This window comes from Homo sapiens, chromosome 16 (assembly GCF_000001405.40).
Source record: "Homo sapiens chromosome 16, GRCh38.p14 Primary Assembly".
Classification (NCBI taxonomy): domain Eukaryota; kingdom Metazoa; phylum Chordata; class Mammalia; order Primates; family Hominidae; genus Homo; species Homo sapiens.
The window spans coordinates 17,048,952-17,064,214 of NC_000016.10; the positions used below are offsets into that span (position 1 = coordinate 17,048,952).

Below are 15,263 nucleotides of genomic sequence, written 5' to 3' on the forward strand. Positions count from 1 at the left end.
ATTGTGAATAGTGCCGCAATAAACATATGTGTGCATGTGTCTTCATAGCAGCATGATTTATAATCCTTTGGGTATATACCCAGTAATGGGATGGCTGGGTCAAATGGTATTTCTAGTTCTAGATCCCTGAGGAATCACCACACTGACTTCCACAGTGGTTGAACTAGTTTACAGTCCCACCAACAGTGTAAAAGTGTTCCTATTTCTCCACATCCTCTCCAGCACCTGTTGTTTCCTGACTTTTTAATGATGGCCATTCTAACTGGTGTGAGATGGTATCTCATTGTGGTTTTGATTTGCATTTCTCTGATGGCCAGTGATGAGGAGCATTTTTTCATGTGTCTGTTGGCTGCATAAATGTCTTCTTTTGAGAAGTGTCTGTTCATGTCATTCGCCCACTTTTTGATGGGGTTGTTTGTTTTTTTCTTGTAAATTTGTTTGTGTTCATTGTAGATTCTGGATATTAGCCCTTTGTCAGATGAGTAGATTGCGAAAATTTTCTCCCATTCTGTAGGTTGCCTGTTCACTCTGATGGTAGTTTCTTTTGCTGTGCAGAAGCTCCTTAGTTTAATTAGATCCCATTTGTCAATTTTGGCTTTTGTTGCCATTGCTTTTGGTGTTTTAGGCATGAAGTACTTGCCCATGCCTATGTCCTGAATGGTATTGCCTAGGTTTTCTTCTAGGGTTTTTATGGCTTTAGGTCTAACATTTAAGTCTTTAATCCATCTTGAATTAATTTTTGTATAAGGTGTAAGGAAGGGATCCAGTTTCAGCTTTCTACATATGGCTGGCCAGTTTTCCCAGCACCATTTATTAAATAGGGAATCGTTTCCCCATTTCTCCCATTTCTTGTTTCTGTCAGGTTTGTCCAAGATCAGATGGTTGTAGATATGCGGTGTTATTTCTGAGGGCTCTGTTCTGTTCCATTGGTCTATATCTCTGTTTTGGTACCAGTTACATGCTGTTTTGGTTACCGTAGCCTTGTAGTATAGTTTGAAGTTAGGTAGCGTGATGCCTCCAGCTTTGTTCTTTTGGCTTAGGATTGACTTGGCAATGCGGGCTCTTTGTTGGTTCCATATGAACTTTAAAGTAGTTTTTTCCAATTCTGTGAAGAAAGTCATTGGTAGCTTGATGGGGATGGCATTGAATCTATAAATTACCTTGGGCAGTATGGCCATTTTCATGATATTGATTCTTCCTACCCATGAGCATGGAATGTTCTTCCATTTCTTTGTATCCTCTTTTATTTCATTGAGCAGTGGTTTGTAGTTCTCCTTGAAGAGGTCCTTCACGTCCCTTGTAAGTTGGATTCCTAGGTATTTTATTCTCTTTGAAGCAATTGTGAATGGGAGTTCACTCATGATTTGGCTCTCTGTTTGTCTGTTTTTGGTGTATAAGAATGTTTGTGATTTTTGCACATTGATTTTGTATCCTGAGACTTTGCTGAAGTTGCTTATCAGCTTAAGGAGATTTTGGGCTGAGACGATGGGGTTTTCTAGATAACAATAGGTAGTTTTTCAACTCACAACCCCTTTCTTCCTCCCAACTTTAGTAGTCAACAGTGTCTATTGTTCTCATCTTTATGTCCATAGTTACCCAATGTTTAGTTCCTACAGTGTGGTATTTGGTTTTCTGTTCCCGTGTTAATTGTTAGGATTATGGTCTCCAGAAGCCTCCATGCTGCTACAAAGAACATGATTTCATCCTTGTTTGTGGCTGTGTAGTATTCCATGGTGTATGTGTATCACATTTTTTCATCCAATACACCATTCATGGGCATCTAGATGGATTCCATGCCATTGCTATTGTGAATAGCACTGTGTGGAAGAAATGAGTTTATGTGTCTTTTTGGTGGGAAGATTTATTTTTCTTTGAGTATATACCCAGTAATGGCATTGTTAGGTCAAGTGATAGCTCTGTTTTAAATTCTTTGAGAAACCTCCAAACTGCTTTCCACAGTAGCTGAGCTAATTTACATTCTAATCAACAGTGTATAAGCATTTCTTTTTCTCCACAGTCTCACCAGCATGTGTTATTTGATTTTTTAATAGCCATTCTGACTCGTGTGAGATGTTATTGATTTGCATTTCTCTGATGATTAGTGATGATGAGCATTTTTTCGTGTTTATTGGCCACTTGTATGTCTTCTGTCTTCTTTTGACAAGTGTTCATGTCCTTTGCCTACTTTTTAATGTGGTTATTTGGTTTTTGCTTGTTGATTTGTTTAAGGTCCTTTTAGATTCTGGATGTTAGACTTTTGTCAGATGCATAGTTTGCTAGTATTTTCTCCAATGCTGTAGATTGTCTATTTACTTTGTTGATAGTTTCTTTTGCTGGGCAGAAACTTTTTAGTTTAATCAGGCCCCACTTGCCAACTTTGTTTGTTGTTGTTGTTGTTGTTGTTGGAATTGCTTTCAGGGACTTAGCCAAAAATTCTTTGTCAAGACTGATATTGAGAAGGGTATTCCCTAGGTTTTCTTTTAGAATTTTTATAATTTGAGGTCTTACCTTTAAATCTTTAATCCATCTTGAGTTAATTTTTGTATACGGTAAAAAGTAGCGTTCCAGTTTCATTCATTTGCATATGGCTAGCCACTTATCCCAGTACCGTTTACTGAATAGTAGAAAGTCCTTGCCCTGTTGCTTGTTTTTGTTGACTTTGTCAAAGATTAGATGGTTGTAGGCGTGCGGCTTTATTTCTGGGTTCTCTATTCTGTTCCATTGGTTTATGTGCTTGTTTTTTTTTCACCAGTACCATGCTGTTTTGGTTACTGTGGCCTTATGGAATAATTAGAAGTGTGATACGTCTGGCTTTGTTCTTTTTGCTTTGGATCGTTTGGGCTATTCGGTCTCTTTTTTGGTTCCATATGAATTTTGGAATACTTTTTTTCTAATTCCATGAAAAGAACATCGGTAGTTTCATATAAATAGCATTGAATCTGTAAACTGCTTTGGGCAGTGTGGCCATTTTAACAATATCGAGTCTTCCAATCCATAAGCACAGATTGGTATTCCATCTCTGGTTTCTTTCAACAGTGTTTCGTAGTTCTTGTAGAGATCTTTCACCCCCTTGGTTAGCTGTATTCCTAGGTATTTCCATTTTTTGTGTGTGGCTATCATAAGTGGGATTATGTTTTTCATTTGACTATCAGCTTGAACATTATTGGTGGGTAGATGCTACTGATTTTTGTACATTGATTTTGTCTCTTTGTCCTTCTTAATAGTTGTTTGTTTAAAGTCTGTTTTATCTGATGTAAGAATAGAAACCTGCTCTTTTTATTTTCAACTTGCATGGTAGATTTTTTTTTTTTTTGGTCCCTTTACTTTAAGCCTGTTTATGTCCCTTCATGTGAGATGGGTCTCCTGAAGACAGGAGAGAGGTGGCTCTTGTCTTTGTATGCAGCTTGCCACTTTATGTCTTAAGTGGGGCATTAAGTACATTTACATTCAGGGCTATTATTGATACATGAGACTTTGATCCTGTCATTGTGTTGTTAGCTGGTTATTATGTGGACTTGTTTGTGTAGTTGCTTTATAGTATCTATGGGATATGTGCGTAAGTGTGTTTTTGTAGGAGCAGGTGCCATTTCTTGGTTTCCATGTTTAGCACTTTTTAAAGGAACTCTTGTAATGCTTGTCTAATTGTAACCAATTCCCTCAGCATTTGCTTGTCTGAGAAGGATTCTATGTCTCCTTTGATTATGAAACTCAGTTTGGCAGGACATGAAATTTTTGGTTGGAATTTCTTTCCTTTAAGGATGTTGAAAATAGGCTCCCAATATTTTCTGGCTTATACGTTTTCTGCTGAGAGGTCTGTCTATTGCTAGCCTGATGGGGCTCCCTTTGTACATGATCTGATCTTTCTCTAGCTGCCTTTAAGATTTTTTTTTTTTTTTGCATTTATCTTGGTGACTCTGATGACTGTGTGTCATGGGGAGGGGCATCTTTTGTAGTATCTAGCCAGGGTTCTCTGTATTTCTTGAATTTGAACGTCAATCTCTCTAGTGAGATTAGAGATTTTTTTTGTGGACTATATCTTCGAATATATTTTTCAAGTTGCCTACTCTCTTTCTTCACTCAGGAATGCCAACGAGTTATAAGTTTGGTCTGTTTACCTAATCCCATATTTCTTGGAGGTTTTGTTTATTTTTTTAAAATTCCTTTTTCTTTATTTTTGTCTGACTGAGTTAATTTGAAAAACCAGTGTTGGAGCTCTGAGATTCTTTCCTCAGCTTGGTCTATTCTACTATTAATGCCTTCAACTAAATTAAGAAATTCTTGCAGTCAACTTTTCAATTCCAGAAGTTTAGTTTGGTTCTTTCTTAAAATGGCTCTTTTATCTTTCAGCTCTTGGATTATTTTACTGGATTCTTTGGATTGAGTTTCAACTTGCTTCTGAATCTTGATGAACTTCCTTGCCATCTATATTCTGAATTATATGTCTGTCATTCAGTCATTTAATAGTGGTTAAGAAGCTTTGCTGAGGAGCTAGGGGGCTCATTTGGAAGTAAGGGGACACTGTGGCTTTTTGAATTGGTAGAGTTCTTGCACTGATTCTTGCACTGATCTGGGAGGGCTGGTGTTCCTTCACCTGTGGTGTAAGTTGAGTATTTTCAGTTGGGCTCATTTCTGGATGTTTTTAGAGGGCCAAGACTCTGTACAGGATCTTTATTTGTGGGTGAATGCCTGTGCTTGGTTTCACAGGGGTATTAGCCAAATAATTTTTGGCAATGTAGTTTGAGCCATGATCCAGTAGATGGTGCTTAAAAGTAATGGCCAGCAGGTAGGGTCTTAGCCACATGGCTCTTTTATATTTCCTCACGTTTGCAGGCATGCTCTGCCATGGCAAAGGGAGGTGGGGAGAGATGACCTCCTCACCAGATCCACTCCTAGGCCTTCGAGGATTCCCCTCTTATCACTGGCTCCACACCCATATTTATTTTGTTAGGTGTTCAGGGCCGCAGGGCTCCCTTGGGCAGAGGCTGTGGCAGAGAGACAGGCCACATTCTTTCTGGACTGGCCCTATAGAGGGAGGTATGCCTCACTCCCTTGCTGGCCCATGAACTTGGACATTTTACCATTCTCAATGCTCTGAGTGTGGGGGCTCCTCTCCCACTCAAGTGCTGGCCACAGATCTCAGCTCAACACTCATAAGCTGTGTACCATGGCTGAGACATCAGGATGGCCCAACTGTGGTGGTGGATTCGAAGTGCTCCCAGGTTGCTGGGAAAGTGTTCAGGTGGAGCAAAGCACTCAGGCTGGGCAGTGGAGGCTGTGCTATGCAGCCTGTGCTGTGCCCGTGGTCCTGTGGGGCAGGCAGGCAGGAGTCCTGGGAAAGGCTAGTGGGCAGGAAGGCTTATAGAACAGATGTTCCCCAGTCCTGTGGGAAGGCTGACCCTGCTCTCTTCTGGCCTGGTGGTCAACTGGGGCTAGAACCTCTTGGAGGGAGATGGGGAGCACTGGGGTATGCGTGTCTGTGGCTACACTCTGCCAGAACTACATTTCTGGGTTCTCTGGTGGCTGAAGCCCTGACTCTGCCTATTCCCTGGGCAGATCCCCCTGCTAGCTCACATGTCCATGGGGAATGTGGGGCCCCCTGTCCTATTACTTTTGTATTGCTGTCTGCTTCTCCCTTTAGTTGTGTTAATATTTGCATTATATAATTAGGTGTTCCATTGTTTAGCACATATATATTTAAACTTATTATATCTTCTTAAGTGAATTGACTCTTTTATCATTATTTAATGACCTTTTTTATCTCTGTCACAGTTTTGGACTTAAACATCTATTTTTTTTTCCTGATGTACATATCTCTGCTTTTTTGATTACTATTATATTTTATTTATTACAGCTTATAGAATATCTCTTTACATCCCATAATTTTCAGCTTATATGTGTACTTAAAGCTAAAGCAAATCTCTAGTAGGCAGCATGTAGATGGGTTTTGGCTTTTTACTCCATTCAGTCACTCTGTCATTTGATTAGAGAATTTAACTCATTTACATTTAAATAATAATTCATAGGTAAGGACTTACTACGACCATCTTGTTAATTGTTCTCTATTTTGTATTTCTTTTGTCTCATCCTTCCCCTCTTGCTATCTTTCTTTCTGTTTTTTGTTTTTGTTTTTGTTTTTTTTTGTAGAGGTATGCTTTGATTATTTTCTCTTTATCTTTTGTGTATACCCTACATATTTTTTCTTTGTGGTTGTTATGAGGCTTACATAAACATCTTGTAGTTATAATAGTCTATTTGAAGCTGATAACTACTTAATTTCAACTATATACATAAATATCTACAGTTTAACTTCTCCTTCCCCCGTATTTGTGTCATTGATGTCACAATTTACATCTTTTATGTATCATGTATCCATTAACAAATTATTGTACCTATATTTTTAATACTTTTGTCTTTTAACTTATATAGCAGAGTCAGAAATTATTTATGGACCACCATTACAGTTTTAGAGTATTCTAAATTTGACTATATTCTTACCTTTGCAGTGAATTTTATACTTTCATATATTTTCATATTGTTAACATCCTTTTCTTTCAACTTGAAGAACTTCTTTTAGGGTTTTTTTTTGTAAAGCAGATCTAGTGGTGCTGAGTCCCCACAGCTTTTGTTTGTCTGGGAAAGTCTTTATCTTGCCTTTTGCCTTCATTTTGGAATGATGACTTTGCTGGGTATACATTCTTGGTCGATAGTTCTTTTTTTTTTTTTTTTTTTTCCCAGCACTTGGGGTAATATCATCTCATTCTCTCCTTGCCTGCAAGGTTTCTGCTGAGGAGTATCCTTAAAGTTTTAGGGAGGTGCCCTTGTATGTGTGATCAGTTGCTTTTCTCTTGCGACTTTCAAATTGTCTCTTTGACTTTTGAGAATTTTATTATAATGTGTCTCAATGAACATATCTTTATAGTGAACCTACTTAGAGTTCTTTGGGCTTCATGGATCTGGATGTTCATGTTCCTCTTCATCCAGACATAGGAAGTTTTCTGTCATTATTTATTTAAATAAGCTTTTTGCCCTTTTTTTTCTTTTTCTTCTCCTTCTGAAACTCTCATCATGCATATATTGGCTCACTTAATGGTGTCCATAGTCCTGTAGGTTTTCTTCCTCATTTTCCCTCAGTTTCATTCTTTTTGTCACCTTAACTGGGTAATTCCAAAGGACCTGTCTTTGAGCTAATTCTTCTTCTGCTTAGCCAAGTGGATGTTGAAGCTCTCTGAAAGTTTTCAGCTCAATCATTGCGTTCTTACTCAAAAATTTCTGTTTGGTTCTATTTTTTTTATTTTTATCTATTTACTGAACTTCTCACTTTGTTCATGAATTATTTTCCTGATTTGACATAGCTGTCTATCTGTGTTCTTCTGTAGCTCACTGAGCTTCTTTAAGATGATTATTTTTTATTGTTTGTCAGGCAATTTGGAGATCTTCATTTTTTTAGGGTTGGCTACTGGTCCTTTATTTTGTTTCTCTGGTGATGGTATGTTTCTCCAATTACACGTAATCCTGTAGTCTTGCATTAGTATCTGCACATTTGAAGAGGTAGATACCACTTTCAGTGTTTTAAGGACAGGCTTTGGCAGAGAAAGCACTTTACCAGTTAGCCTGTTTAGAGACTCTGGTCAGGCCATCTTGCAGGGTTCATGGGTTGCCTGCTGCTGGAATCCTCAGGTGGGCTGGGAGCACTGATGTCTACTGGAGTGGGTCTGAACCTTGAGTCTCTTGGAGCCTGGGCCTCTGGAGACAAGCCTGGAGCCTGGGATGGGCCTGGAGGCTGAGCCCACAGTAGTGGGCCTGGGTCCTGGGCCATCAGGAGCAGTCATAGAGGTTGGATTTATAAGGGGCTAGCCTAGTGCTAGGTGGGCCAAGAGCCTAGGTCTGGAGTGGTCAGCCTGGAGCCTGGGCCTGCAGGTGCTGGCCTGGTGCCTTGGGCTGTGGGAGCCAACATAGTGCTGAGGTAGGCCTGGAGGCTGAGTCTACGGGGGCAGGCCTGAGTCCTGGGTCTGTGGCAGTCATCCTAGAGCTTGGAACTATAGGGGATTCTCTGGAACTAGGGCTTGGTCCCCAGGCTGGGGCAAGCCTGGAGCCTGAGTCTGCCAGGGTAGGTAGGCCTAGATCCATGGGATTATGAGGGCTGACCTGGTGCTGGGGTGGGCCTGGAGGCTTGATCTATGGGTACTGGCCTGGGGCTCAAGGCCATGGGGCTGACCTGGTGCCAGGTTTCACTGGCACAGGCCTGATGTTTGGGTCTGTGGTGAATTCACATGTTCACTTCACTCTCCTTCCCCCACAGGGAGCACACGTGTCTCTGCACTGTGCTGGGGTTGGGAAGCGGTGGTGTGGATAATGTGAAACTGTCCTTATTACCTTCTTCAGTGCATTTTTTTTTCTTATTTGTGTGCTACACCTAGGTGCTGTAATCTCTCACTTGAATCTCTTAGCTCTTGTGAAGGTATTTTTATGCATAGATTGTTGTTTAAACTGATGTTTCTGTGAGGGGATGAGAACCAGAAAGTTCTATTCTGCCATCTTGCTGGCATCGCTCCCCTAGGGACCTGTTCATGAATTCGTGAATTCGTATAGCGTGTAAAAGTATTATTTTACACCCAAGATAATCAATTTTACTAGTTTGTGTTCGGGTCTGCATGATGGAAATCAATCAGCCAACTCTGAGTGGCAGAGTCTGTTACATTGGTGTTAAAAACCAGTCTATGTTATATTGGTGTTTAAAAAGATTCTGAGGTCACATTTGGGATTAGTAGGAAAGAATGCTTTGATTGATTAGTGATGTCTTCCATTGGCATGGAAATGGAGAGGGACACTTTTTTGAGACAGGCTCTGGCTCTGTTGCCCATGCTAGAGTGCAGTGGCACAATCTCTGTTCACTGCAACCTCTGCCTCTCGGGCTCAAGTAGTCTTCCTATCTCAGCCTCCTGAGTAGCTGGGCCCACAGGTACGCACCACCACGCCTGGCTAATTTTTTCTTTTTTCTTTTTTCTCTCTTTTTTTTTTTTTTTGAGACGGAGTCTCGCTCTGTCGCCCAGCCTGGAGTGCAGTGGCGCGATCTCGGCTCACTGCAAGCTCCGCCTCCTGGGTTCACACTATTCTCCTGCCTCAGCCTCCCCAGTAGCTGGGACTACAGGCGCCTGCCACCATGCCCGGCTAATTTCTTTGTATTTTTAGTACAGACGGGGTTTCACCGTGTTAGCCAGGACAGTCTCGATCTCGTGACCTCGTGATCCGCCTGTCTCGGCATCGCAAAGTGCTGGGATTACAGGCATGAGCCACCGCACCTGGCCCTGGCTAATTTTTTTCTATGTTTTTGTAGAGACATGGTTTCGCCATGTTGCCCAGGCTGGTCTCAAATTCCTGAGCTCAAGCAATCCACCTGCCTCGGCTATCTCTCCTGTTCCCCATCCCTCAATCTCTTTCTGTCTCTTGTTCTTGAGTGTGTCTTTTTTAGATCTTGTTCTCCCTTTGACAGCTTCCTCTTTGGCTTGGCATTTTATCATTTTTCTTAGCAGCTGGGATTCTCTGGCATTTCTAAGTCTATTTTAAACACTTTGTAAGGTTTGATTTAGAGGAAAATCTGATTTCCATAGTTTGTGCATTGGTACCTCAGGGGACTCTTAGTTTGATTATGTCCTGAAAAGGTTGTGATAAGCTCGGGCTCTGGCAGCCCTGATAGGCGTGGCTCAGTGGCCTTTCAGCTGCTTCCATCTGGGTTATTGAAGCTTTTTAGCAGCCCAAGAGCACCAGGCTCTTTACCTCATTGTAGAGTTCCAGTCTCATTTTTGTTTTGCCAGAACCCCTGGGGAACTGATTAAGATGATTCTGATTTAGCAGGTCTGGGGTGAGACGTGAGATTCTGCATTTCTAACAAACAGACGTGAGCCAGGCGCGGTGGCTCACGCCTATAATCCCAGCACTTTGGGAGGCTGAGGCGGGCGGATCACTTGAGTTCAGGAGTTCAAGACCAGCCTGACTAACATAAAGAAACCCCGTCTCTACTAAAAATACAAAATTAGCCGGGCGTGGTGGCACACACCTGTAATCCCAGTTACTTGGGAGGCTGAGGCAGGAGAATCACTTGAACCTGGGAGGCAGAGGTTGCAGTGAGCCAAGACTCTGCCATTGCACTGAAGCCTGGGCATCAAGGGCAAAACTTTGTCTCAAAAAACAAAAAAAAAAAGGAAAGAATGCTCCTTCTGTCTTGAAACCTAATTTCACCTGGCAAATGGAGTTTCTCCTCCTATGTGCTCCCTTTGAACCCACATGACATTTTATAGTATTTCTGATGGGCTTCTTCCCAACTTGGACTCTAATAATCTCTATTCATTTCTCTCTCCAGTTAGACCGAGTGCCACTCCAGGGCTTGCTATGGAAAAATAAAAACGCAAAATAGAACATTCCAGGCCAGTACATGTAGTAAAGACCGTCATGATGCCAAACATGACAACTTTGGCCTTCTCCAGTGTAGTGATGCCTGCTGCTCTGAAAAGCAGCAGCCTTATTTACAAGAGCTAAAGCTTGGAAGCAACCTAAGTGTCCCTGGATGGATGAACAGATAAACAAAATGTAGTATACACATACAAGGGAATATTAGTCTGCCTTTAAAAAGAAGGAACTTCTTTTTCTTTCTTTCTTATTTTTTGAAGACAGAGTCTCACTCTGTCACCTAGGCTGGAGCGCAGTGGTACGATCATAGCTTTCTGCAGCTTTCAGCTCCCAAGGTCAACCAATCCTCCCTCCTCAGCCTCCCAAGTAGCTGTGACTATGGGTGCATGCCTGGGTAACTTTAAAACAAAAAGTTTGTTTGTTTGTTTGTTTGTAGAGATGAGGTGTCACTATGTTGCTCAGGCTGGTCTTGAACTCCTGGGTTCAAGCAATCCTCTTGGCTCAACCTCCCAAAGTGCTGGGATTACAGGCATGAGCCACCATGCCCAGCCAGGAAGGAACTTCTCACACAACGCTGCAACATGAATAAACCCTGAGGACATTATGCTAAGGGAAATAGGCCAGTCATCAGAGAACAAATGCTGTATGAGTTCACATACATGAAGTACTTAGAACAGTTACATGCATACAGATAGAAAGCAGAATGATGGTTTCCAGGGGCTTGGGGAAGGGGAAATGGGGAGTTACTTTTTAACAGGTGTAGAGTTTTTCTTAGTTTTACAAGATGAAAAGAGTTAGTGAGATGGATGGTATGATGGCTGCATATTATTAAATTAATGCTTTCTTTTTTTTTTTTTTTTTTTTTTTAAGACAGGGCCTTGCTCTGTCTCCCAGGCTGGAGTGCAGTGGTACAGTCTCGGCTCACTGCAGCCTCAACCTCTCAGGCTCCAGCGATCCTCCCACCTCAGCCCCCCCATGTAGCTGGGATTACAGGCATGCACCACCACGCCTGGATAATTTTTATATTTTTAGTAGTGACGGGGTTTCGCCATGTTGACTAGGCTGGTCTTGAATTCCTGGGCTCAAGCCTTGACCTCCCAAAGTTCTGGGATTACAGGCCTGAGCCACCGCGGCCAGCCTATTAAGGTATTTAATACTTCTGAACTGTACAATGGTTAATTAAATTAAGGTATTTAATACTTCAATGGTTATGCTGGTAAACTATATTTTATGTGTTTTTCCCTCTCCCTTGTGGTTTTCCCCTGCGGCCTCCTACAGGGAAAAGAGGGGAGGACCTATATCCTTCTTCGATATCATCTCTATCCTACAGCTTGTAGGATATGGTACAGCTTGTAGGATATTTTTACCACAATAAAAACTTCTTATAAAAAAGCATTGGCCTTGCACAAAAAGGCCAGAGTTCTAGCCTTTCCTGGCAGGAATACACTGCACTGGGATCCCTTGAAGCCCTAGACTAGCCCCCACATGCAGGAGATTTGGAATATCCTCACTAGACATCAGATGAACAGGGGTCTGTGTGACTTCTTTAATTTTCCATCACATATCTTGTCTTGCCCTAAGTTTCCATTCCTGCTGCTGCCTGGGACAGATATACAAGAGAAACTGGTTTTACATAATTTTTTCCATTGTAAATTTATTCTTGGCAAAGAATCAAACATTCAAATTCTTTCACAGGATTATTTCCTTTCTCTAGGTCTCTTTCTCCTTTGTCTCTTGAAGGTGACATCTGAGCTCGTAAAACAGTTTGTTTCTGTCCGTGTGCTGGACATCGTCCTTTCTGGCCTCTGCTGCAGAATTCTGAGTCTCAATTTGACCCTGAGTGCCCTGCACTGGTGTCCACTGCAGAGAAACTGCTCCTTCCTGATATTTTTTGAGCATGTTACTGATCGCCCCTGCTGACATTATAGATCTCTGCCATTGGCTCTGGTCCTAAGGTTACCTCATTCTGTGATCTCCTCACCCTAAGCCAGGCCTCTTCTGCTCTATCAATTCTCTCAGAAATTCTGAGCCCCTCTAAAAGGAAGGAGGCAGGGAATCTTGTTAGGTTTTTCTGCAGGATGGCTATGTTGGGGAGACACCATAACATCCTAATGTATGTTTGGGGTTGGCAAACATTGGCCCAAAGGTTGCTTGTCACATGACTTTGTAAATAAAGTTTTATTGGAACAGAACTACACCCACTCAGTTACATATTGTCTATGGCTGCTTTTGCAGTACAGTGGCAGAGTTGATCGTGGTGACAAAGGTTATATAGCCCGCAAGGCTGAAATATTTACTGTCTGGCCCTTTGCAGAAAAAGTTTGCTGGCCTTTGGTCTTTGTGGTGGAGTCCAGGGTTGTGCAGGACATATCCTATGTGGCTGTATGTGACAGCCCTGGCTTTCTGTACCAGGCTGTAGCAGGTGGGACTCAGTGAGGTCCCTCAGCCATGGCTGTCTGACCAGTGCCATTCCATACCAGCTTGGGGAATGTTGCAAGGAGTTTCTTTTTGGATTCCAGCTTTCTGTCATACCATTTGGGGTTTCCAACTTCAGGTTGAGGGACCCAGCAGTATCTTCATCTTTCTTTCTCAAAATGTCTTTTTTTTTTTAATCGGAGTCTTACTCTGTCACCCAGGCTGGAGTGCAATGGCGTGATCTTGGCTCAATGCAACCTCCGCCTCCTAGGTTCAAGCAATTCTTGTGTCTCAGCCTTCCAAGTAGCTGGGACTACAGGCACATGCCACCATGCCCAGCTAATTTTTTTGTATTTTTAGTAGAGATGTGGTTTTGCCATGTTGGCTAGGCTGTTCTTGAACTCCTGACCTCAGGTGATCCACCCGCCTCAGCCCCCAAAGTGCTGGGATTACAAGTGACAGCCGCTGTGCCCAGCCTCAAAATTTCTTTCTCCTGTGGTTTTCCCCCTTTGGACTCCCACCCCTTACCCAGGGTTGGAACTACTTATCTTCTTTGTAACAGGTAGGACCTATTGCCTTCTTCTATATCATCTCTATCCTACACCTTGTAGAAAGTCTCTATGCTCAGAACTCTAAGGGTTGCTTTAGAATTTAGAAATATACCTTTCTCTCTCAAGAAAGCCTGGACTATTGTCTCATGATGACATTGACAGCCTATTTTGGAAATCAAAAAGTAGACATTGCTCCATTCTCTTTGTGTTTCTGCTGCAACTATCCCAATCCTTCCCAAAGCAATAGATTCTCTGACTGGGGAGTGGAGGCATTCATATATTGCAAGAACATCATCTTCTTTGAGTAATTATATCTGGCACTGTGCCTGGATCAGAGTAGCTGATAAACAAATATGATCTTGTGGCAGAGGGCTACAGGAGAGCGTTAGCATCTAGATTCCTTGATCTAATATGAAACCCATCCAAAGAGAATGAGATATTCTGAAGAATCATTCTTTACAGCAGGAAACAAATTCTGCCTTAGAGACTGGACCCTACATTTTGTGAAAGGGACCTACGTCCATGACATCATCCAGGTGTGGCCAAGCCGTCATGGCATTCCAGGGAAGCTCCGGTTACAGCGACACGTTCTCACTTTTCCTTTATTTGACATTCAGCCACTCATATGGGGATAGCTTTCTTCAGTCACCATAACCACAGCCAGCTTACACATTTGTCTCTTTGAAATTAATCACTCTTTAGACTGCTTATTCTAATTTCTGCTTCCTGAAGGCAGAGCCAGCAGGCATCTCCACATGGTTTCTCCGTTCTCCAGCTGGAATTTCTGAAGGACACTGTGAGGCCACTTCCATTTCCGCTGCCTCCTGACCCTCTTCTACATCCCAGAGTCTACCTTACATCCCATGAATGGACAAGCAGTGGCGTATTTCTGACTGCGTGGGCTCCCTGCTGTCACAGGGCACTTGCTGTCAACAGAAAGCAGGTGTTCTGGGAAGACTGGAGGAGCTGTGGGTGGTGAGGCAGACACTGGGCTTGGCTCTGGAAGCCCGAACTCAGAACATTAAGCTGAACCATCTGAAGCTCCTCCACGAAACAGGTTGTGCAAGTCTCTCTTCCCCTCTCTATGGGTTCATGCATATTCATAATTAGAACAACTCCAGGCCGAAGATAATGATTCATGCAGGAAGCGCCATTCTGAACATTATTATCTGGGAGTGACAAATGAATTTCTAATTTAACATGTGTATTGCACAAATAGATCACAAGAACTTTAAAGTCAAAAGCATCCTTTGGAGTCATGCAACTTCTGTTGTAATGTAGCATAAAATGATAGGGGAAGGAGGGGATCTCCCACTGGTGGGCTGTGCATAGCGGTTCCCTTCAAAGCAGAGGAGAAATAAAAGGGGGTGAGATTTCAGACACTGTTTGAGTCTACTATAGAAGCCAATAACAATGACCAAGAATAAAACAACAGCGGCAACAACAAAAAGCCAGTCACTGGCACAAGCAATACCATTGTTTTGAGTTATTATTTGAGAATCAACAGAATCCTCCCTATTTTTTTCTCCTGCTGACAACAAAAACGGAGGGTAGGCCAGTTGGGTTCATTGGTTGCTCAATAAGAATCAGAGGGCAGTAACTGCAAGACAAGGCTGAAGAGGGAGTGGTAGAATTGATTTCAGCTGCATTTCAATACCGGTTTCATGTTGAAATACTAATTTATAGCATGATAATATGATAGCAACACTGTCTGCCTGGCTGCAAAGACTGGCCTCTTCCAGCTTGTCAAAGCTGACAGTCAAGCGTAAAATGGCTACTGTCAAGGAATGGCAGCTCTTTTAAGACTAGGTCTTAAGCCATTTCTTAAAGTTCTGTATTTCTGTCATCACTGTCCCCCATCTCCCAATCCCTTTTCTTTCTAAATGCTAGAAT

General features: G+C 42.2%; 1 annotated feature.

The window, feature by feature from the left end:
• Positions 13,400-14,599: an enhancer, noted in NCBI's record as "BRD4-independent group 4 enhancer chr16:17156208-17157407 (GRCh37/hg19 assembly coordinates)". NCBI's record gives its function as "activates an origin of replication core promoter dependent on BRD2, P300/CBP, MED14 and CDK7 cofactors, and independent of BRD4, by STARR-seq in HCT116 cells {active_cell/tissue: HCT116}" and the evidence as "EXISTENCE:reporter gene assay evidence [ECO:0000049][PMID:35650434]".